We start from the raw sequence: 23,300 nt of genomic DNA on the forward strand, positions 1-23,300 counted from the left end.
AACAAAATTTATATAAAGAAAAATATGGTACAAACAGGCCATGGCAACCCTTAAGGCATCTTCAAATTCATTAAGTGATAGAATATTTGGCCTCCTTAGGCTGAGAAGAGAAATAAGTGTTGAGAAAAATAGTCAAAATTTGATTTGAATGGACACTCTCTAGGCCTTTTACAGCCTACAAGAACCAAAATAAAAGTGTGAGACTAACATTCTATTATTCAAAAGTGATAGATAATGAGAAATATGTTCTTTTTTCAGAGATATGTGTAATGTCACATATGAATGCTCCAAAAAGTTATCAGCCAGCAAGGTGGCCAGAGTTGGAAGAACTGCTTCTCTTAGAACAGCTTTTACCTTTACCCATTAAAGTGACTTTTTCCTGACCAGTGCATGGATGAAGAACACATTTTGAGGAAATGGGAGTGAAAAAATATTCAGAAAACAGAAATCTATTTATTGAAAAATGCAAAATTAGAACATAACTTTTGAATTGGGAAATGTTTTGATTCTCTCATTAGCATGATGATTTACTTAAAAAAAATTTAAATGAATAAATAAATTACTTGGTTGACTCCACTAGTCTTTTTCTATTGCATTTTTCTTTGTTGTTTAGTGATTTAATTTTCCTAAGGTCATTCTAGAAAGATGGTATATATTATGAATAATTATTTAAATCACCAGTGTTTCTTCATATTAGAGTTGGCTTTTCATTTAGTTTTACTTTAAGGACTTTCATGAAGAAAATCTCACAGTCCCATGGAAATACAATGTCAGGACTTTTTTGATACAAATATCTTACAGAAATATGAATGCCTCATTTCAAAATACCTCACATGCTAAATATTGTAAAATATGTTGTCTTGGAATGGTTAACTACGGATGGGAAGATAATTTTGAGATAATACGGTTCATCCCCTTTACATTTTAGATATGTGGGGATAAAAGAGGAATTCATGCAAACTAATATATTTTGATTACCCATGATGTTGCAGGCTGTGGTCCAGGAAATTTACTCATATGATACCAAGTAATCCATAATATAAGATTAATTATCTCTAATTTATAAATGTATGAGCTGAAATTCAGATAAGTTAAGTGACATATCGAAGGCATGAAGAAAGTAGTGGCAAATTGTACAGTTTCCTATTTCTCCATACTATGAGCATTGCAAACACTTAAAAAATATATAAAAGTAAAAAAATCCTGGTTTACAAGAAAAAAACCTTTTTATCACTTATCTTTTACCTAGATGCCATCTTATAGCTATTTAAGTAGTTGTCAGCATAGTGGTTTTATAGTTTTTATTTTCCGCTTTCCAGGCATTTTCCATTCAAATAAATTTATTTTCATATTTCATATAATTATAATTTTTAATTTATGCATGTTTACCTTATATCCATATATAATACTTTTTCTACCTATACTACTAAAATGAGATAGTTTATTTTATATTTTCTTTTATTTAAAAAGACATTTCATATACGTACTAGTATAAAGTTTCTTTACAGTAATTTTTATGTCTATCATGTCAAAAATATCTGGATTTATATTTTTTCCAAAATGCTAATACTAATTTTCAGAGCTAGGAGTAAACTCATTTTGCTAAAAATTTGTGGGCCTTTGATATTCATAGTTTAGAAATATATATATTTCAAATTTCTAAGAATAAAATTTCATTTCTTAATTAAATTCTTGATTATAGAATTGTTTAACTTGCATTTTTCCTGGTTAATTTTTTTCTATTTTTTTGTTTATTTACTAGGCACTTAAAGTTTTTCTGACAATGTAATATATGCTAATTGCAGTACAATTATTTTATATTATCTATGATAGTAACATAATTCTAAAAATTATCTTATTAGATAGGCATTATTTTCTGTATATTATCTCAAACTGAGATGTAATGCTATAGCCTGCATTTGAAGATGATTGTGTGATGTCAAATCCTGTTATATTCTCTACTCTAAAGCCTCTGTACTTATTTATGTAAATCAAATATAAAGGCTGACCTTGAGAATCTCAGAGATCCCTGAGAAATTTATACATATAGTTATCTATTCTCCAAACACTGAGTGTTACTAATAAATATTCTAGGCAGTCCAAAACAATAGTAATTTTAGATTGTAATTTTATGGTAATATTAACCCTGTTTTGTTGTGCCAGGAGAAATTTTTGAAGTTAACTTTAAATTACTGTCTAAGGAAATGTACTGTGGTCCTGACAGGAGAACTAGCAGTAGTGTGTGCCCTGCATATTTGTAACCGACAATGCCTATGGCTTCATTTAGGTTTGATTCATCAGTCATGTCATCTTCTGAAAGCACTAGAAATAGTGGCAAAGCTGGAGTGCCTTTTGACGTCCTTTCACACTTCCATAAGATTATTGTACATCCATTAACTCAAACGACAAAGGAAATGCCATCTAAGTTGAGTGAATGGATGCTAGGACTCTAAAAGCCCTACTGTCTCAGGTGAAGGGGCAAATGTGCAGCCTTGGGGGATGGAAATGTCTGAGATTCTATCTATGTAGTTACATGTGATGCACATTATCTTTACAGATTTATGGGAAAGAGGATCATCAACCACCAAATAACATGATATATATAACCAGACCTTGGAGTTGACCCGTATTATTCTTCATCTGTTTTTTACTGATGGTCTCCGACTTATAATAAATATCAGTTGCCTAAGAGTGTGAAGTCACAATGGAGCCAGGACAAAAAAGGTCTCTAAGGAAGGGCATGCTTGGAAGAACATGGGAAAGCTGTCAGAATTCTGACTGTGACATTACAGCTGAGTTGGTAGAAGCGAGAGTATAGGTTAGAACTCATTTTTGTGTAAAACCAACTCTGGAAGAACTAAAATGAAAATGAAAATAAGAAAAGATAGGATATTTGATGTCAAAGAACCTAATAAATAATCTTGATATGGTTTGGCTCTGTGTCCCCACCCAACCTCATCTTGATTTGTAATCCCCATGTGTCAAGGGAGGGGGCGACTGGATCATGGGGGTGGGTTCCTCCATGCTGTTCTCCTGATAGTGAGTGAGTTCTCACGAGATCTGATGGTTTTATGAGTATTTGGAAGTTCCTCCTTCGGCCTTCTCTCTCACCTGCCACCATGTAAAACGTCACTGCTTCCCCTTCTACCACGATTGTAAGTTTTCTGAGGCCTCCTCAGCCATATGAAACTGTGAGCCAATTAAACCTCTTTCCTTTATAAATTACTCAGTCTTAGGGAAGTTCTTTATAGCAGTGTGAGGAAAGACTAATATAAATGTCAAAAGCAGACATACATGAAATAAATAGAAGTGACAGAGGCATACATGAAATAAATAGAAGTGACAGAGGAGAAATGCACTGAATATTTGTAGTCTCTTTGGGTGAAATAAACCAAAAGCCCATGGAGCAAAGGGAAGAATTTGGAAACAACCTGTATTATACAGACCAGTCTGTTTCAAAGGTAGTTCATGGCTCACCTTTGGAGCTAGTTAAAAATTCAGAATTCAGGGTCCCCTTCATTAGATTTACTACATTTGAATTAATAAAGATGAAGACTGAGAATCTAGATTTGAAGCAAACTCATTGTTGATTCTTACTGGGATCTCTTGTGACAGACCAAGGTCTCAATGTCTCCTTGGCTCAATCATTTTCTCCTGCTTTCACCTTCTTCCTTTGAACTAGAATTCACTGTCTTCTCCATTCCACAGCATTTGTAAAAGAAGACATTGATGCAATCTCCTCTAGGTTCATAAAGATAAGAAGTTCCAGAGATTTGTGCATAAAGTGAAGTTATCTGATAGACAATGTATATAATATAAATCAGCCAGTGTCTACTAAAAGAGAAAAAGGTGTCTTCGTAGAGGTTATATATAGCTTACATGTTCACAGGATTATCACTTAGGACATTGAAAATTAGTAGATGGGATAGCAGCAATTAGTTTTAGCAGGGAATGAATTAAATGTAATTTCTGAGTAAAATTGAAGTAAATTTTCCCTTTCCCTTTGATAAATCTGGAGTCAAAGAGCATTAATAGGCCGGGCGCTGTGGCTCACGCCTGTAATCCCAGCACTTTGGGAGGCCGAGGCGGGTGGATCACCAGGTCAGGAAATCGAGACCATCTTGGCTAATACGGTGAAACCCCATCTCTACTAAAAATACAAAAAATTAGCCCGGCTTGGTGGCGGGAGCCTGTAGTCCCAGCTACTCGGGAGGCTAAGGCAGGAGAATGGCGTGAACCCGGGAGGCGGAGCTTGCAGTGAGCCAAGATCGTGCCACTGCACTCCAGCCTGGGCGACAGAGCAAGACTCCATCTCAAAAAAAGAAAAAAAAAAAAAAAAGAACATTAATAGATACGAGATAAACGAATGAAGTCCAAGAGGCTTCATTTGTACTTTATTAAACTGGGATCCAGAAATAAGACTTGCAAGTAAATTGTAAACAAAAGTCTCATCTTTACAGAGAGGATTGGCGCTAAGTCCTTTGACTAAAATTCAACAATACTCAGAGGCATCACAAAAGTTCTTATCAGTGTCTCTATTCTGCAACTCACAATTTCTTTTTTCAAAATAGTTTTTGGGAAAAGTTTTACACTTAGTTTTCTTTCTATATATAGAAAATAAATTATAAAATAATATTTGCAGAAATATAGAGTACTGCTTTGAGGTTAGATTTTTATTGGTAGCCAGCACTTAGTTTTGAGTTCTTTTTGGGTAACATAGCAACTAGCAAACAAAAAAATACAACTAAAATTCAACAGTCAGTATGTATTGATATTTATATGAATTAAAAAATTGATGGGTAACATCAGTCAGTTATATGATAATAATACTTACAACAAACACTTTTCAGCAACTATTCTAAGCAATTAACATGCAATAACTTAATGTACTAAAATGTATAGTAAGATTTCTGTTAATTACTTGACAAGTTGAAATTATTATTTAATTGAGATACCTTTGGATCTCAAAATCCAAAACAAAACAAAACAAAATAACCCAGCAAATACACGAAGCCACAATAGATAGTGGCTGTATTAAGGGAATTAATTGTCAACGAGGGAGAATTGTGCTTGTTGTGACTGCAGACTTTTGTGTAACCTTTCTCTTCTGGGCTTGCTAGATGTGAGGAATGCACTAGCAAGTTTATGACACAGACACTTAAGCTTTCAGAATTGAAAAAAGATGCAACTTGGCCAACTACTCCAAACTCTTCATGTATTTTTTGTATAACAGTGATTACCTACTGTTTCTTTTGATCACCTTTACTTATAGGAAGTTTTAAAAACATTCATAATTAAAATATCTGATACAACTAGATAAGAGCAGTGCATCATCACCATCTTCCCAAGCATAACATGAAAACATGGAAACTGAAAATGGCATCCTTAACTACCTTTCCTCTAGATTGGAAGGCAAACAGAAGGTAGAAGGACTGATTCATATTGGAGTTGTAGTTAAGCATTCAAACTTCACAAAAAAGTACCAGGCTTCGAATCGTGGCTCTTCCATTTAGTAGCTGGCTGATTTTGTGAAAAATACTTATTCTATCTCTATTTCTTCATTTATAAAATGAAGATATGCTGGTTAATATGTGTCAACTTGGCTAGGCTATGGTACCCATGTTTGGTTAAATACCAATCTAGATGCTGCTGTGAAGGTGTTTTTCTTTTTTTAGATGTGATTAACATTTAAATCAGTAAACTGAGTAAAGCAGATTATTTTTCATAATGTGGATGAATGTCATCCAGTCAGTTGGAGGTTTCCTCTTTCTTGAAGAAGTAGTAATTCTACTTCAAGAATTTAACTTTTGAAGTAATCGAAGTAATTCTACTCAAAGACTGTAACATATAAACCTTGCCTAATTTCCAGCCTGCAGATTTCAGACTCCCGACTGTACCATCAATGCTTACCTGAATTTCCAGCCCGCCCTCCTGTTTTACAAATTTCTGACATTCAGGTTCCACAATAGGGAGATCCAATTTCTTAAAGGTAAAATATAAAACCCTCCGCAACCTCATTATTTTATATATGAAATGTGGTAATTATATCTAGCACATAGAATTGTTGTAAGGATTAAATTATTAAGAAGTAAAATGCTTAGAGTGAGGTCTTGTGCAAAAGTAATGTCTCTGTTAGTTAATATTTTATTTATCTCTCTCCAGCATTAAGCACTGTGTCTTGCATAAAATAGATGCTCCATGAATATGAGTTGAACTAAAGTTTTATATATGAATCCTTCTTGACCTAACCAATTTTCACTTTATCCTTAAAATTTGACAACTAATATTTACAAGTCCATTCCTTATGAGAATTTGCTGCCATTTGAAAGTAATAGATGATGACAAAGTCCAAATATTTGGATACTTTATTCGTGCTATGGTAGGAAAAAAAGAACAGAAGCTTTCAAATTATATAGATATAGAATGAAATTTTAGTTAACTCCCTTAGAGAAATATGACTCTGAGGAAGTAACATGAAGTCTCTATTTTCTCATCTCCAAAATTGTTATCATGATAAATATCTCATAGTGGTGCCTTTGTGAAGGACTTGGTCTACCTTAGTCACCCAAATTGGCAATGTTATATTAATTTTTATTTATGAATTCCCAGTTTATCCTAAATTGGTTTGCACCAACAGAGAGCAATTAAATCTGATTGCATGATCAGATCATTCAGAATCCCTTGTTTTTACTAGCCCTAACCATGTAAATAGATTTTCCAGGGAGCATTAGGTGATGTGTACGTATCCCAAATATTTTCTACTAATAACAGTAGGTGATTTGGTAATTAGAAATACCAGCTTCACATTATAGAAACAAAGCACTATTTTTAAAAAGTAATTTGGCCTTTGGCTCAAACAACCTGCTGAATGTTTTACTGATCACTCATTGACATGCATTTTTAAGCAGACTTTTGGTACAAATGCTCCTCAAATACTCTAACTTTACATTAAAGAAGTATCCCACCTTTTAATTGAAAAAATCGATGCACTTTTCAATGATTTTATTAATGAAACATCTTTAGTAGTATTGTGAACTGATTTTATGAAGATGGAACATTCAAGCATTTTAACAGAGCAGAAAAATATTCCACGAGACTCATTGCCTCATTGAGCACTTACATTTGCATAGTACTTTGCATCTATTAAGAGCTTGGTGATCACTTTTATTAGTTAGCATTGAGTAAGGTCAATATTATTTCTTGCATTTTCCAGAGAAAATATTTGAATGCAGAGAAATAAAGTGATTTCAGCCATGTAAGTAAGCAAGTGGTGATTTGTGAATTCCATTGTCAGTTTAAAATATATTGTCAAATTATGGTACTCACTTAAATTGGCAACCAAATGTTTGTGGTAGTCTCACAAAGAAAAAATGGGGGAAAATGCCTGAAGATCACTTAAAACTCCCCTGTTATAGTGCTACTTTTATTTAGAGGGAAATATAATTAAAAAAAAACTACAGCTAAAACTCTTAAATATGCTACAGTAATATATTTATTAGATCTTTTGCCTCTTAGCACACAGTTCATGCTTGAGATGTTCTAGAGCCACTAGGATATTAAAAAGTAGGAGGAGAAATTAGAAACTCCAGTGATTGATTTAGGACTGAACTGTAGAGCATGTTGTTAGATGCACATTCCAAAGTTAAAACAAAAAAACAAAAAAACATTTAATTACTGTGTTTTGTTCTAAACTCTAGTGAAATCTACTTGCTAAACAAAACATTCAAAATTTGCTTTTGAAAGGAGTGAGAAAGTGATTAGCTAGAGATTAGTTTTGGTGAGGATCATAAAAAAGTATAAAATTTCAAGGAAAAACAAATAATCCCAAAGAATATTTCCTGATTAAAAAATAAATAATTTAGTATAATGCAACACAGCTACAGATTTTATAAGTAACAGACTTTACAAATATTATCAAAACTCAGTAGCAGAATACAGAAGTTACTTAGTATTCACTGTGACAGCAATGCAGTCTTCTCTAAATTATCTAAGATTGTGCTAACTCACTCATAATTTGGAGACTTGTGCTGTCAGAAGGAAATATGTAGGCAATAGGTAAGTAAAATTATTATTAAAATGAATTAAGTGAGTTAATGTACATAGGCACATGTAGTAAATGACAGTATTATAATCATCTTTATTTTATCTTACAATCTTACTTACTTAACTATTCACCATTTGTTTTGCAAGTGTATTGCTAATATTCTAGGTTACTATAAACACTGAAATGATAGTTTATTAGTGGAAATGATATGGCACAGAAAAAGCAAGGCATCCTTTAAAGTCAAATTATCACCATGATTTTCATTTTAGTCTACTTAATTCTCCTTTTCCTTTAGATCTAGATTTAATCTTCTAGGATGCAGAGATTGGTAGTCCCTATCCCCACTTTCATATATCCCAGATAAACACTGGAGTAGAAGAAAGGGTGAGAAAACTGAAGACTCATCTTTGCTCTGTCAGAAAATAATTGACCGACCTTTGGCAAATCAATTAATTCACTGAAAATTCATTTTCCCAATTTGCAATGTGGAAATAATAATAATATATTCCCTGTGTCTCAAAGACTGTTCTATAAAATTCATAGTATTTTAGAAATGGACAAATATCCAAGCTCCATATCTAACATCTAAGAACATCAGTGGCACACTCAGCTAAGGAGATGGAATCCATCAGTTTTGTTTTGTTTTTGTTTTTTTTTCTGTGGATTTTCAGATATCCACCTATCCTAGCATTTTTTTTCTTTAGGGAGAAGTAAAGTGATTTTAGAAATATATATATGTATGTGTGTGTGTGTGTGTGTGTGCGTGTGTGTGTGTTTGCTAAAAGTTCTTTTTTTAATATCACTCAAACTATCAAAGATTTATATAATCCCCATTGTTAAATACTAATGTTTTAATCTGGTGTCATATCTGCTGATGTTTAGAGATAAGGCTAAAAAGGAAAACGGAGAAAAAATAATTATTATTTAAAAATATTAAACAAAAATATATTTGTGTTAGATATTTTTTACTGGAGACAAAAATATCCTATTGTATGACTTTAAACAGGAAAATGGTAGAATTAGATTTTCATGTATCGCTTGGAGGAAAAATTACAAACGGGCTAGAGGAAAGTCAAAAGAATGTTCCATTAATTCCATAAGAAGTAATAGTGGCTTAATGCAGGTCATTGTCAAGGAATTTGGAGAAAATAAAGTAATATTTAAAAGACAGGGAAGAGGTAGATTTGACCATACTTACTGATTGGCTGGCTATGGATTGTAAGAGTGAGGAAATAGTCAAAAATAATACTCAGATTTCTGATTTAGGTAACTGATAGTATTTTTCATAGAATAGTGGGCTAGAAGATCAGGTTTGGAAGGAAGTAGAGTTAATGCATCCAGTTTGGACTTGTGTAGTTTGAGATACCCATAGCATATAAAGAATACATATATGTATATATACACACTCACACACACACACAGTTGAAGATTAAGAGAGAGATTTGGACTGGATGTAAGAATTGGGGATTATAATCTTATGGAGAATATCTTCAGCCTTAATGGTGGAGATTCATTCAATGTATTATCTACTGTGTGATGAGTCCTGATTAAGATTTTGGCTTCATTATAGTAGAAAAACAAAATGTAAATGTTGTTTCTGCTCTCATGATTCTACCTTATTACCAGGGGTTAGCATGTATACTAAGAGAAAAAGGCTGGAAGCAGGATTATGGGAACATCAAAATTTCAATACAATTAGGATAAAATCAATAACAATAGAAAGTTATCTGACTGTGAGGAATAGAGAAGTTCTTCTTCAAAGTTTCTTGAAACCATAAAGAGCTTGTCATTTCCTTGCTCTATGTATATCTATATCTATATGTTCTAATGCAGCTGCTCTAACTTCCCCCGGCACACCTGGACAGGACTAAAGCCCCTGACCACAGTGCATGCCATTCCTTATTTGGAAACCCTTCTGGCCATCTCATGACTAGCTTCCTCTTTGCTTTGTCCTCTTTCTCTTTTGCCTATTTGGGAAATTTCCAAGCTGTTAACCAATTGGGTCAAGCTTAGAATGTGAGGTCCCATTCTGACCAATGGAAATAGGACACTGCCATAGGGCGATTGCATCAGGTTATGTAAGTTATAAATGTCCCTGTCTCCTTTGTTTGGCGTGCTCTCGTGGTGAGACTGTTGGTGAGTTGTACCCTTTCTGCAGAAAGTAAATTAGCCTTGCTGAGTGATCATTGCCTTGGTGTGGATTCTTACCGATGTCATAAACCCATTTCCAACACTGACATATTATTTTTACTCTGTGTACTTTTCACTTTCTATTTGAATTGAAAGTAATTATTTCATTATTGTTTTTGTATGAAAGTTCAGAGGTCGTGTTAATTCACTACTTTAAAAAAACTATTCATTTTTTAACAAGTATTATGGAGTGCCTCCAACTTTCATTTTAGATATTGTCCTTGGTATTGAGGATACAAAGATGACTAAAACATATCTGTGCTAGGAACAAGCAAAGCTCTTCCTCTTTGAAATTATACAATCAGTTGCATTTTTTTCTATCATTATAGGGATTTTGGTTGTAGAAAAAAAAGATCACATATGAGCGATTTAAATGACCAGAGTTATGACAATAAAGCAGAACATTTCTGAAAAATAAAGGAGGCCTGAGATGGTCATTATTGCTATTTCACCTGTTTTCTGATTCTCTCCCTATGGGGTAGGCACATGGCAGGATTACTCAACCTTACTCCTCTTTAAGTGAGACGCAATTATGTGATATGATTTGGCCAACGAAATGTGAGCCTTGAAGTATTAACCCACAATTTAGCATACTCTGTTCCTTTTACCAATGTTCCAGATAGTGAGGATCCCATCACTTTAGGTCTCCAAGTCAGACTCTCCTGCTGACTCAAGATGTTTAGCATGAGATAAACAAGCTTTTGTTGTTTCAAACTTCTAAGTCTGTGGGAGTTGCTCATCTATCCTGATGGATGTAGAGGCCAAATTACAAATTAAAACAGCATTAGTCACCCCCCAAGTTGATTTATTTTACAGTTTTGACTAGGGATTGCTCTGCTTATGGTATGGGTAGTAGAGAGAGAGAAATAAGGTAAAGAGGGGGCATGAGGGTAGAAATCTTCCTGCTTTGTATGTCAATCACGTTGATGATTGACTTGAGAGTTGTGCTATGTTTTCCATTGCCAGAATGTACTTAGCAAAGTGTTTCAGCAACATTCCAATTTCCCTGTGAAATAATAGAGAAACACTACATTGAATTGTTGGCAGAGTCACTTGATTGATGTTCTCCAGAGCCTGAACTTCACTGATGAAGTAGTTTCAGTTTTTTTCTAATTGTTTGGAACATTGTAAAATAAAAACATAGTAGTTGATGAAAAGAGTTTTTTTTATCTACATGCAATATTCTATTCAATGGATATAACATATCCTGACAGAGACATTGTACTAAATTTTATTTCACCAATTTGAAGATACGATATAAACACCAAATATTTGATACTCTTGCTGTGTTTTCTTAGCAATTCCATTTGTCAAGAGTCTCTTGAGAACCAGATAATGTCAGAAAAAGCTAAGTGTTTATTTTCACTGGCTTTTGCATGCATAAAACGGTTCAATATTTCAACCTGCAAACCTATTCACCTCATTGCATTGGTAGTCTATATATTACCTTTGCACATACAATAAGAAAACAAAATCTTTAATAGTGAGTTGATGGCAGAGATGATAAAAGAGGAACAAGCACAGAAACATGAAGACTGTATCATTAACTTTGAATCAGAGCAACATAGATCAACTCACTGATATTTCATCTTTTTATTCTTCTGTGTGGATGACAGCAAATCTTTGGTGGCTGAAATCAGGAAAGCAAGAGAGAGAATAAGAAGCCTGGATCATCCATTAGGGTAGTAGATGAGAAGTTCATAGCTTCATTTTATAAAATGTTAGAATCTTCTAGAGCAGAAGTTCCTACCTGGAGTGATTTTGCTCCCAGGATACATTTGGAAATACCTGAAGACATTTTTGGGTGTCACTATCGAAGGGTTGTGATGAGTACTACTGGCATCTAGCGTGTAACCCAGAATGTGCCTTAAAATGACAATAGCACCAAGATTGAGGAACACTTCTAAGCCAAGCTATTCATTTTACAGAAATTATATTTATGACTCATTCATCCATATCAAAATATTTATTAAAAGCCCCATTAGTCAAGGGCCCATGCTAAGTATATAAACTACAAAAATGAACCTCAATAGTTAAAAATCCTCATATCATGGGGTTTGGGGATAGAGAAGGAAGAAAGACATGTTGTGATCTATAGAAATCCTTTACATTTCCCTTTCATTCTACAAAACCTGGCATCTATAAGCCTACTAAATACTAAAGGGAAGGGATAAATGAAAGCCATTATTATTCATTGAAAGAATAAACTCCAAAGTATTCAACAACTTATTTATTGAGCAATATTAGGCTCCAAGTACACCTCTAAATGTTCACCATATGGATGCTAATAAAAGAAGCAAAAATCCTCCTCTCATGAAACTTAAGTTCTAGAAAAAGAAGATATAAAAATGAAGTAACAAGTAAATTATACAGTATGTAAAGCACTTGGTCAAAGAGTAAGAGCTGAAGAGGAAGAAAGAGGTTATTTGCCCAAAGGATTGATTTTTAGCAATAATTCCTACTAAACATTACCTGGAATCTTCATGAAAAATATGAAATCAATGTTTATGTTTAATGGAATGCTTAAGATAGAAAAAAAAATGAATCAAGAATGAGGGTTGGGAGGACTAGGTTAGAAGCAGGGTTAAAATGTTAACTTCAGTGGTCGGAGGATAAATCAAGGAGACGGTGACATCCAAGCAAAGGCTGGAAGTGGCAGAGGCAGTGACCCACACAGATATTGGGGAAGCATTCAAGAAAGAAGGAATGATGAGTAGCACACAAGTGATCAGTGTGCCTGGAGAAGAATAAATGATAGCAACAGACAAAGAAATGGTTTTCCTTGAGATAGTGACACTGCAGGTCTGGAGGGTGGAGTTCAAATCTCAGTTCATCTTTAAGACTGGTTTTCACTCAGACTAGGGTGGGGAGCCATTGGCTGTTTCTGTTGTGGAGTGACATATCTGACTCAAGCTGTCACACAATCATTTTTACTACTGTGTTGAGTACAGTCTGAAGCGGGGGACACCCAGAAAGGAGAGTTTAGGGCCAAAGGGAAAGAAATAAGACTAGTTGAGAGGCTACCCGCCTCCCCTAGTTCCCAATAACTCGCGATGGTGTCTCAGACCTGGGTGGTAGGAGGGAGATCATGAAGAGTGTTTAGGTTCTGCATATATGTTGATATATTTTTAAGGTAGAGCTGAAAGAATTTGCAAGGGGTGAAAAGAAATGTGAAGTACCAGAGAGGGAGAGGCTCATGGATGGTTCTAAAATTTTGGTCCTGAGCAATTGGAGGCTTAGTTGCCATCTACAGAGACAGTGTAAACCACTGGAGGAAGATGTTGGGTTGGGTGTGGGAAGGTAATATGAGGGGCTCAGATTCAAAATAAAATTGGTTGTGGGTCATCTACCTGAAAAAGAGCAGTAGGATTTGAAATTCTCCTGAAAAATTTGGGGCAGGCAGGCAAGTTTCTCATAGCAGGTATCTACAGTCTGCATGCTTTATAATTCTCCCTTTATCTCATTTGTCCCCAAGTGTCTCTTTTGCATTTCTTTTTTGAATAGACTAATTCTCACCTATTATATTTTTTATTGTGCCTTATCTTAAGTTTGAGCTCTGGGACAGGTTTCATGTAATATAATAGTATGATCACTTCAAGTGTTGTCACACAGCAAGGTTATAAATACTGATTAAGGCATGAACAAAATGCTTCAGAGGACGTGACAATGCAGGTTCTATAACAGTAGCCTGGAGCTCACCAATTTGGGGGTGAAATTATCTGACAGCTGGAATAATGCATTTTTGTACAAATTCAAAGATTTAAAAATCTCTTTTCCTCAATATCTTAAAAAAACACTAATAGCAAAATTAATTACTTCCCAAGTTTAGACATGTCTATCAATTAAATGGTACAAATTATTATTCAGATAAGAAATTATATAATTTAATTGAATTATATTGTCATGTAGTATTTTTAGAAAAGTTTACCAAAAAAAAAGGTTTTTACTTTTTCTTCCTACTGTATCAGACTGAAGTTATTCTATGCTCTTTTTTTTTGTCTTGTGTTTATTTTGTTGCATTGTTTTTCTTTTGTCAGGGCTACATGGATGCTCAGAGCAAATTGCAGTTTAAAAAGAAATCCTTAAATCTTTTGAGTGTTTCTTTACCCAGAGGAAATATATAATATTAGTATCTGATTTGTAAATTGATGCATCTTGCTTATTGGTCTTCATGATTTACATGATGTCTTGAGCTAAGGGGTTTGTACAGAACTTGCACACTTCCATTCTTAGCGTCTGCAGTCCTGTTTGCCGAAAGCTATATTCTCTGACCTCCTCATAGTATCTTCTGTCCAGTGATAGTGAATGTCATTGCACTTCCCAATTTACAACTTCAGAATGGGTATGGCTAGAAGTATGAGAGCAGTTAGCTTTGCATATCGAATGCATATACTTTAAAGAATACAATTTGTCCTCTGCAGACCATAGAATTAAAAAATACTGCCAAATTATGTTGTTGAATTATTGATTCACCCTCTTTTATTTTTCAGTTTCATGTTTCATGAGCATAAAGCTGATGGATATATTAGAACCTTTAATGACAGACCCTCATGATGAAACATGGGAAGAGCAGACGAGATTTCCTAGAGGTTCACTTTGTAGAAATATTTCTCACAAACAGCTCAGGGATGCACATTATATACCACAGTACAGTTTAAAAGCGTCTTGGAAACTACAGCATTATATGTTGACACTTCAGGCTAATACAGGGTTTTCTTCTGAGTGCCTGGCACTGCTAAGATGTTATAAAGAGTTGTTTGTAGCCCTTTATAGACAAGGACAAACTTGGGAAAATTTGCAAGGCAGTGAAGTTTCCTCAAGGTATGAACCTAACTTAACATTGAGATCAGAGAGGTGTAAAGCTCTTCATTTTATTCCTCTTCCTTTCTCATTTTAAGAGAAATATATGTGGATTCTGTTCTTGCAGGGCAGTACATTTTTAGGAAAATTATTTTTAGGCAAATTCTTTTTAGGAAATTATTTGGTAACACATTAGGACTATAAATCTACTTCCTCAGGCCTCTGCTGATGAATCTTTGTATAAAGAATGGTATCTGTTATAACCTGGGTATTATGAAGAATCACGAATACAGTGAGAGGACACATACACACACAGAGAGAGAGAGAGAAGAGTCTTAGTCCTTTCTGGCTGCTCTAACAGAATCCCATAGCCTGAGTGGCTTATAAACAAGAAACATCTATTTCTTCTATTTCTAGAAGTCTAAGGAAGTCTAAAATTAAGACACTGGTAGATTCAGTGTCTGGTAAAGACCTGCTACCTGTCAAATAGATGGACATATTTTAGTTGTATCTTCACATAGTTGAAGGGAGAGGAAGGCTCACTGAGGTCTCTTTTATAAGAGCACTAATTCCATTCATAAGGGCTCAACTGCTATGGCTTATCACCTCCTAAAGTCTGCACCTTCAAGTACCATCCCAATGGGAATTAGATTTCAACATAGGAATTTTGAGGGAACACATGCATTCAGTCTGTTGAAGAGTAACAAAGAGAGAATAAAACTCAATTCTCATCCTAAAGCTTGGAAGAATAGAACAGAATCCATTGTAGTCAACCGTAAGAACATTAAACGAAGGTAAGAAGTTGTTTGACAATATCTAACACAATCAAACCAAAGATTGATAAAATTTTGTAACAGCAGAAAAGATTGTGGGTTAATATAGAATTAGTTGTATGGGGCTTCTTCAGATTGTTAATGCTAATTGATATCTGACCATCACTACCAGGCATGGAGCATATGGCTTTGGAATATATAAAATTAAAAAGAAATGTCTGTCATTAGAAGAAGAGAAAAGGTTTATATAGAAACTCTAAAATTTATAATTTTACCACTAGATTTTGAGAACTAAAAATAAAATATAATGCCATCAACCAACTTAACAGACCCCCTTTAGCCAAGGGGACCCCAGAGGAACCTTAAAAACTGAATTCCTGGCCATGGTGGGATGGGAGGTCAGACACACCTTATGATGCTCACTCCCTTTCACTGTTTAAACACAACTAACCAGCAGTAATGTTAAAACAGAGATCATAAGATGGACAGAATGGACTCTGCAGAAATAAGATACCAAATGATAAAGAAGACCTAAGGCCATGCCAGGCAAAGCTTAAGTCATGTACTCCTGCACTTAAAGAATAAACTATGTTGGAACCAGGCACGTTGGCTCACGCCTGTAATCCCAGCACTTTGGGAGGCTGAGGTGGGTTGATCACCTGAGGCCAGGAGTTCGAGACCAGCCTAGCTAACATAGTGAAACCCTGTCTCTACTAAAAATACAAAAAATTAGCTGGGCGTGGTGATGGCCGCCTATAATCCCAGCTACTAGGGAGGCTGAGGCAGGAGAATTGCTTAAACCTGGGAGGCGGAGACTGCAGTAAGCTGAGATCACGCCATTGCACTCCAGCCTGGGCAACAAGAATGAAACTTCGTCTCAAAAAAATAAAAAAGAATAAACTATGTTCTAACTGCCACAAACTATGTTCTAACTGCCAAAAAGTTTTTCTTTTTTCTTTTTTTCTCTAGCAGCTAAATAAGCACTGGCCTTAAGATAATGAATGTTTAAAAAATTGTAGCTCATCTACCACCAGACGCTGATTCTCACCCTCCTGTTCCACAAGCCATAACTACAGCATTGACTGGACAAGATCCTGGTTTCAGTATATTTCTCCTGATAAGATGACTGACCATGAGTGGTTCTGGCCAATTTACAGAGGCTACGCACTTGCATGTCTTCCTTACTCTGCTTCACCTTTTGACGTATAGGGCCTAATTGTCATATATTTTAATGTTAAGTCTCCACCCCAAGGTAGATATGGGTCATATAATAACATATATGTTTATTCAGTATGCATGCAGTAGGACCCCATTCATGAATATTCATAACTCTTTCTATACCCTGTTGAGTATGTATACTTGGCCAACTCATTCAGCATAAATCTCTGTTCCACCCTCCCCGCCTTTAAAGTGGCTGCCTTTCAGTTTTCATCCAGAGGCTCTGCTTCCCAGCCTGTCAGAATGGTAACCCTGCAGGATGTAATCTTTTATAAGACATAAAGTCTCCTTCCTAAATGTATAGCTTTCATTCATTATTTTTTAGTTGACAATTGTCATATTCAATGCTTATGTGTAGCAAAATAAATATTTCTCTTTGTCTATACAGTTGTGCCTTAGTACCTCTGGTGAGTGGTTCCAGGACAACCTCTATTCTCCCAAAGACACCAAAATCCAGGGACGCTCACATCCCTTGTGTGAAATGGCATAGTATTTGCATATTGCCTAAGCACACCCTCCGAAATACTCTAAATCATCTCTAGATTACTTATAATACCAAACACAATGTAAATGCTATATAAATAGTTGTTTTATTTTATTCTTTAGGAAATAATAAGAAAAAATCTGTACACATTCAGTACAGATGCAACCCTTGTAGGTCTGGTCTAAATATATTTTTGGTGCTATGTTGGTTGAATCCAAGGATGTGGACCTTGCAAATACAGAGGACCAATTGTATATAAAATTTTTAACCATAGTTAGAACTGATGATTAGAATGTGATATGCATAATAGATGTGTTTAACATTACTATGTGATTTGGTGAAATTTGCACTAACAATGACTTTAAAAAATTTGAAACTATAACTTATTCCGCTTTTTTCTATATCTCAGTACATGTATGCTACAGTAAACCTCTTCTTTAGAATGGAAACAGTTCAGATCCAGCCATGTCATAGATCCATTCAGATCCTCTGCAATGGGTACAGCCCGCTCAAAATAAAAGAAAGCAAGGCTTTGAAACAAAATTATTTTATCTTTTAATCCACCAGTACCTTGCAAATGCAGTATTTGGCACACAGTACTCATACAATGTATGTCCAAAATGCAAGAATTCATGCATATTTAATGATTTTTATGATGTTTGTAATATTCATGTTTACTCTGTGATGAAACTAATCTGTAAATCAATGTTAACATCCCAAACTGCTTCCTGTAATTTACTTGAAACACTTCAGAAAATGACAATGATATTTATGTAAACCTTCAGTTCTTAACTTCAATTCATGACATATTTAATTTAGCTAGACAAATTAAATATTTTAGTTCCCAAATCAAAAATTAAGTATGGATATTGATTTAAACATTTATGACAAATTAAATAAACTATGCTAAAATTTTTTAAAATGCTTTACTACAAACCTATTATTATTAAAGAACAATTATTATATATATTTTATTTGATGGAATAAATATTCTGAAGTTGAAGATAACCTAGGCAGAAACAGTACCACTTTAAGTTCACTAATGCAGTATCTTTTTTAATGTTCTATTCACAATTCCAGCCTAGAGAACAAGATTGTCACAGATCTGGCCTCTGGTGGACTGTTAGCTATGTGAGGAGGATTTATTGCAATTACTCATGCTGTGATTTAGATTAAGCAACTTGAAGCTTCAATTCACAAGCACTTATGAACATTCTGATTCAGATTTACTTAAAAGAGTCTGTTAAACTTCAGACTCTTGTGTAAAATAATCAGAGCAGCCCATTTATTTTCAATGCTAAAGTAAAATTTAATATAACCTTTACCACATTGCAAAAATGCAAAATAGAATTATTCTGCTGTTGAAATTTAGTAAACACCTGATCTGACCTGATTTAGGTGAAGTTGCAGTTAGTAGAAATCATGATATATATTCAAACAGGTAGGGTTTAAAGGTTTATATTATTACCCATCTCATGGTAAATAATTTAGTCTCACTTATTGTAGCAAATAATTTTTCTGTGATTTGGGTCCCTTCATATAAAAAAAAAATCACACACTTCAGGGAGTTTATCAGGGTTTTTCCACTTTTAAATAGTGAAGTCAGATGTTACGACCTTTTGTCATTTTTCTCCTAACCTGTTTCAACAATCCAAGGTGTGTGAGAAGCCTGGGCTGCTAATGCCCATGGGCATACTAATCTTTTGCTTCTGAACTTGCTATTTTCTCTCTTGGCCTGTTAAATATGGCCTGTACACTCCACTGACATCACCTATGCTGTCATTGTGACCAGTAGTGTACTGAAGCTCTCCACAGAACAAAGCCTTTATAAAAGCAAAGAGAATAGTAGACTTTTGTCCTAAGGTGCACTTTGCAATGTCCATCCCAAAGAAGCATTAATTTATGTTGCCTGAATCTTATGAATATGGATACTACAGATCTTTTGGTATTTAGGCTTTCATATGAGTGGACTGGGACTGGATTGAATGAAGAGACAGTGGTAGATGCTATACTTTCTTCTTGCATATCATGTGTGCTTACATGCCTAAGGATGGGCTGTGACTTCTTTATTCAATAAAATATGAATGTGTAAGCCTAGCAAAGGCAAAGGCATAAGTAAGAATACTTCCTCTCCAGGGAGGCATGGTAAGAACAGAAATATCATACTCTTACAGGGGAGAAAAAATGATTATTTAAAAAATTTGCAATCCATGAAGCTTTATAAGCCAAGTTGAAGAGTTTTGACTTCCTTTTAGTGTGATAGAAAATCATCAAATTGTTGAGAGTGGAGAAAGGAAGAAACCGGTCAGGCAGGCAGTTAGTGAGGGTCCTTGGTTGAAATCTTTCAAACAAAAGAACAGCCTGCAGGGAACTTGAGCGAGGGGCGGGGTGGGGTGGAGGGTTGGGGGTCTTGCCAAAGACATGCCTACTGTCGCACAGATGAGAAAAGCTACACAAGAGACTTGCCCAGACATGCCTGCAATGGAAAATTCCATCCTCTGACACATGCACAGTAAGGGGAACAAAGTAACATGGAGTATTTCTTCTTTTGCTTATTACACTTTCATTCCAACCTCATCCTTAGTGCCCATGCTCCTTAACTTTCTTGGTCCTGAATCAAAGGATGCTGGGTACTACCTCAGGCAACCAGAGACTGCTACATTGCATTCCATTGGCAAGACTGTTGCATTGTTTTAAGTAAAGGAGTGATTTAATATATTTTATAATTACAAAGATCTAGTAGTGACTATATCAAGATTAGATTAGATTGTATAGAATTAAAAGGGAATGTAAGAGGTCTAGTTAGAAGGCTATAGCTCATTAGGAAGATAATAGAACAGGATTGCTGCAGTATGGTAATAATGGAGACAGAAAAGCGAAAAAAAGTGGGATATGGTTAGGAAGTGTGTCAACAAGAATTGCATGAAACTGTACGTGATGCATAAAGAAAAGAGAGAACTCAAGTACTTTCTGCTTTTGGAGCTCTTCTTTAAGATAAAAATTATCATTGGGACTTAAAAGTACACCTTTCCATTTCAGATTTTGCAAAATACAACTTACGTTTCTCTTATATATTTCCTTTTGGAGTTTATCTTTTTTAAAAATATAAACAAAAGTATTCTGCTTCTTTAAAAATGAGTCTCTGTATTTCTATTTCTATTATAGTTTACGTTTTCTCTTTTCCCTCTTCTTCCTCAAACTTTTTTAAAATTTTATTATTATTATACTTTAAGTTTTAGGGTACATGTGCACGATGTGCAGGTTAGTTACATACGTATACATGTACCATGCTGGTGTCCTGCACCCATTAACTCATCATTTAGCATTAGGTATATCTCCTAATGCTATCCCTCCCCCCTTCCCCCACCCCACAACAGTCCCCAGAGTGTGATGTTCCCCTTCCTGTGTCCATGTGTTCTGATTGTTCAATTCCCACCTATGAGTGAGAATATGCGGTGTTTGGTTTTTTGTTCTTGCCATAGTTTACTGAGAATGATGATTTCTTTTTTACCTTTCCTTACTTCAACTTCTAGATGCCTGGATATCCGCCTTTGTAATCCAATTTCCTTCACTTCCTCATTTGTATCCTCTTTTTCCACCTTCCACAGTTTGCCTTTTGTCATTTACATCTTGTTTTCACATTCTTACTAGATTGAAAAATATGTCCCTCAATTAAAAATTCTGCTAACAGAACAAGTTTCTTGGTTTAGTCCAATTTAAGAGTAGAAGGACAAGAAAGTCCACTTAATTATCTCTATTCTAGAGAAATGGAAGTTTGAAAGTTTTTTGCAAAATGTAAGTTCACTTCCTAATTTTGCAATGTGGCCCAGTCAATTTCTAGCATGTAAGGTACAGAGGAATAGGTTAACTGAAAGAAAAGATAGTAAGCTGAACAGCACAATATTCACACCTTCTTTTCACTATATTGCTTTTTCCTCTGTTACTCCACTACCACATGCACTAAACTGAAGTGTAAATGCCAAAATCAAAATAAGAATGATTGCTTATAACACCTATGCCACTCTTTTCCTCCAGTTATTTTAGTAAGACTATTTCTGTCTGTACTACAGACATGAATTTATTTCTCCATCTTTTTTCTGGAAATCACAGTAACATACTGTGATTTTAGGAAAGACAAAATGAATAACAGAGTCAATAGAGATAATATTGCTTTAAACACACACACACACATACTCATGTTACGTCACTGTGTAAAATCCATTTTTTAAACATGAAACATGGGAAAAATACATTTCTTTATTTAACAATATTTTATTGAGTTTCTACTATGTAAGAAGCACTGTACTGGGTGTTGGTGACTCAAAGATGAATAACACAGACATAGTCCTTTTTGTATGGATTCTTAGAGTGGAGTAGAGAGTTTTTAAGAAAGCATGTCACTTGCTAGACAAGGTGGCTCACACCTGTAATCCCAGAACTTTGGGAGGCTGAGGAGGGCTGATCATTTGAGGTCAGGAGTTTGAGACCAGCCTGGCCAGTGTGGTGAAACTCCATCCCTACTGAAAATACAAAAATTAGCTAAGCCTGATGGTGTGCACCTGTAATCCCAACTACTTAGGAGGCTGAGGCAGGAGAATCACTTGAACCCAGGAGGCAGAGGTTGCCGTGAGCTGAGATCATGCCACTGCACTCCAGCCTGGGCAACAGAGCGATACTCCGTCTCAAAAAAAAAAGAAAAGAAAGCATGTTACTATTTCCATTATATCCCTTGCAGTTTGAGAGGTGTAAGGACACATTCAGGCCATTGAATCTCTCTTTATGAATTTCTAAATATACTCAGAAGTCTAGAAGACTGAATGTGTAGATTTTCTCCCAGCACTGTCAAAAGGAAAAGATGTTAATTTAATATTTAAGAAGGTCCCAGATACTCATTATCTTTTGAAGTCTGGCTTGCTCAGCACTTTCCACGATGAAATACTTTTGCTTATATTTTGCCATCTGAACCAGATCAAGTTTTTCTGGCTAGGTAATGCCTTTATATGAACAATATTGAAAACGAATAACAATCTAAGTAATCACCAGTATAGTTTCTTTATTTCCCAATGAAAAATTGTCATAAATAATTGTGTTCTGTATTATCTTAAAAATGAGTTATTTCCTTCTCACATATAAACTAAGCTTTGGAAAATGACATGAGTAATATATTTCCGTTTGGAATTTTTTCTAACATTGAGGACAATGATTACACTGTTGTTTCCAACAGAGTAAAAATCAAAAGGGGGAAAAACACTTTCTAGTGTTCTAGTGTTTAATTGCTTTTTTAAATGGAGACTTTCTATTAACTTTAATTAAACATTTAATAGAGATTGTAGCCAGAAAATATATTTTCCCATTGAAATTAAATTACTTTTCCCCAAAGAAAACATAGTGGGTGTAAAACAGGGAGGGTTGGACTCTCAATAGAGTTCTATCTGCCTCCTTCCTTTTCAGAGTAATTACTGACCTGTTATTAACACTCCAGGGAAAATCCTTTTGGTGATTTACATTTCCGGATCACTCTGCTCTGTCTGCCACTTCACTAAAGACAGAATTTATCCATTGTTCAGCATGTGCAGGAACAGATGCTTCAGCTACTAATTCTTTGTCTCATTTGGAGCATCAAAAAATGAGAGGCTAGTTCTTGCACAGATCAAGCCTCAGCCTCAGAACCTTTTATATATCTTAGAGAGAGGTAATTTGAGAGCCTCTCAGTGCCCAGAAGGTTGAATGGAGGAGGCACAGATTTTAAATTCTAACCTAAGTTCTTTTTACATGTCTGTATTCTTTCCCA

General features: G+C 34.9%; 1 long non-coding RNA gene across 2 annotated transcripts in view, besides 1 other annotated feature; it reads left to right on the forward strand.

Annotated features, from left to right (window-relative positions):
• Positions 1–23,300, forward strand: part of LOC105374557 (uncharacterized) — a 485,690-nt gene that overhangs the window by 214,519 nt on the left and 247,871 nt on the right. The window lies entirely within an intron of this gene.
• Positions 19,366–20,565: an enhancer, noted in NCBI's record as "MED14-independent group 3 enhancer chr4:28353016-28354215 (GRCh37/hg19 assembly coordinates)". NCBI's record gives its function as "activates an origin of replication core promoter dependent on BRD2, BRD4, P300/CBP and CDK7 cofactors, and independent of MED14, by STARR-seq in HCT116 cells {active_cell/tissue: HCT116}" and the evidence as "EXISTENCE:reporter gene assay evidence [ECO:0000049][PMID:35650434]".

This window comes from Homo sapiens, chromosome 4 (assembly GCF_000001405.40).
Source record: "Homo sapiens chromosome 4, GRCh38.p14 Primary Assembly".
In the NCBI taxonomy this organism is placed as follows: Eukaryota; Metazoa; Chordata; class Mammalia; order Primates; family Hominidae; genus Homo; species Homo sapiens.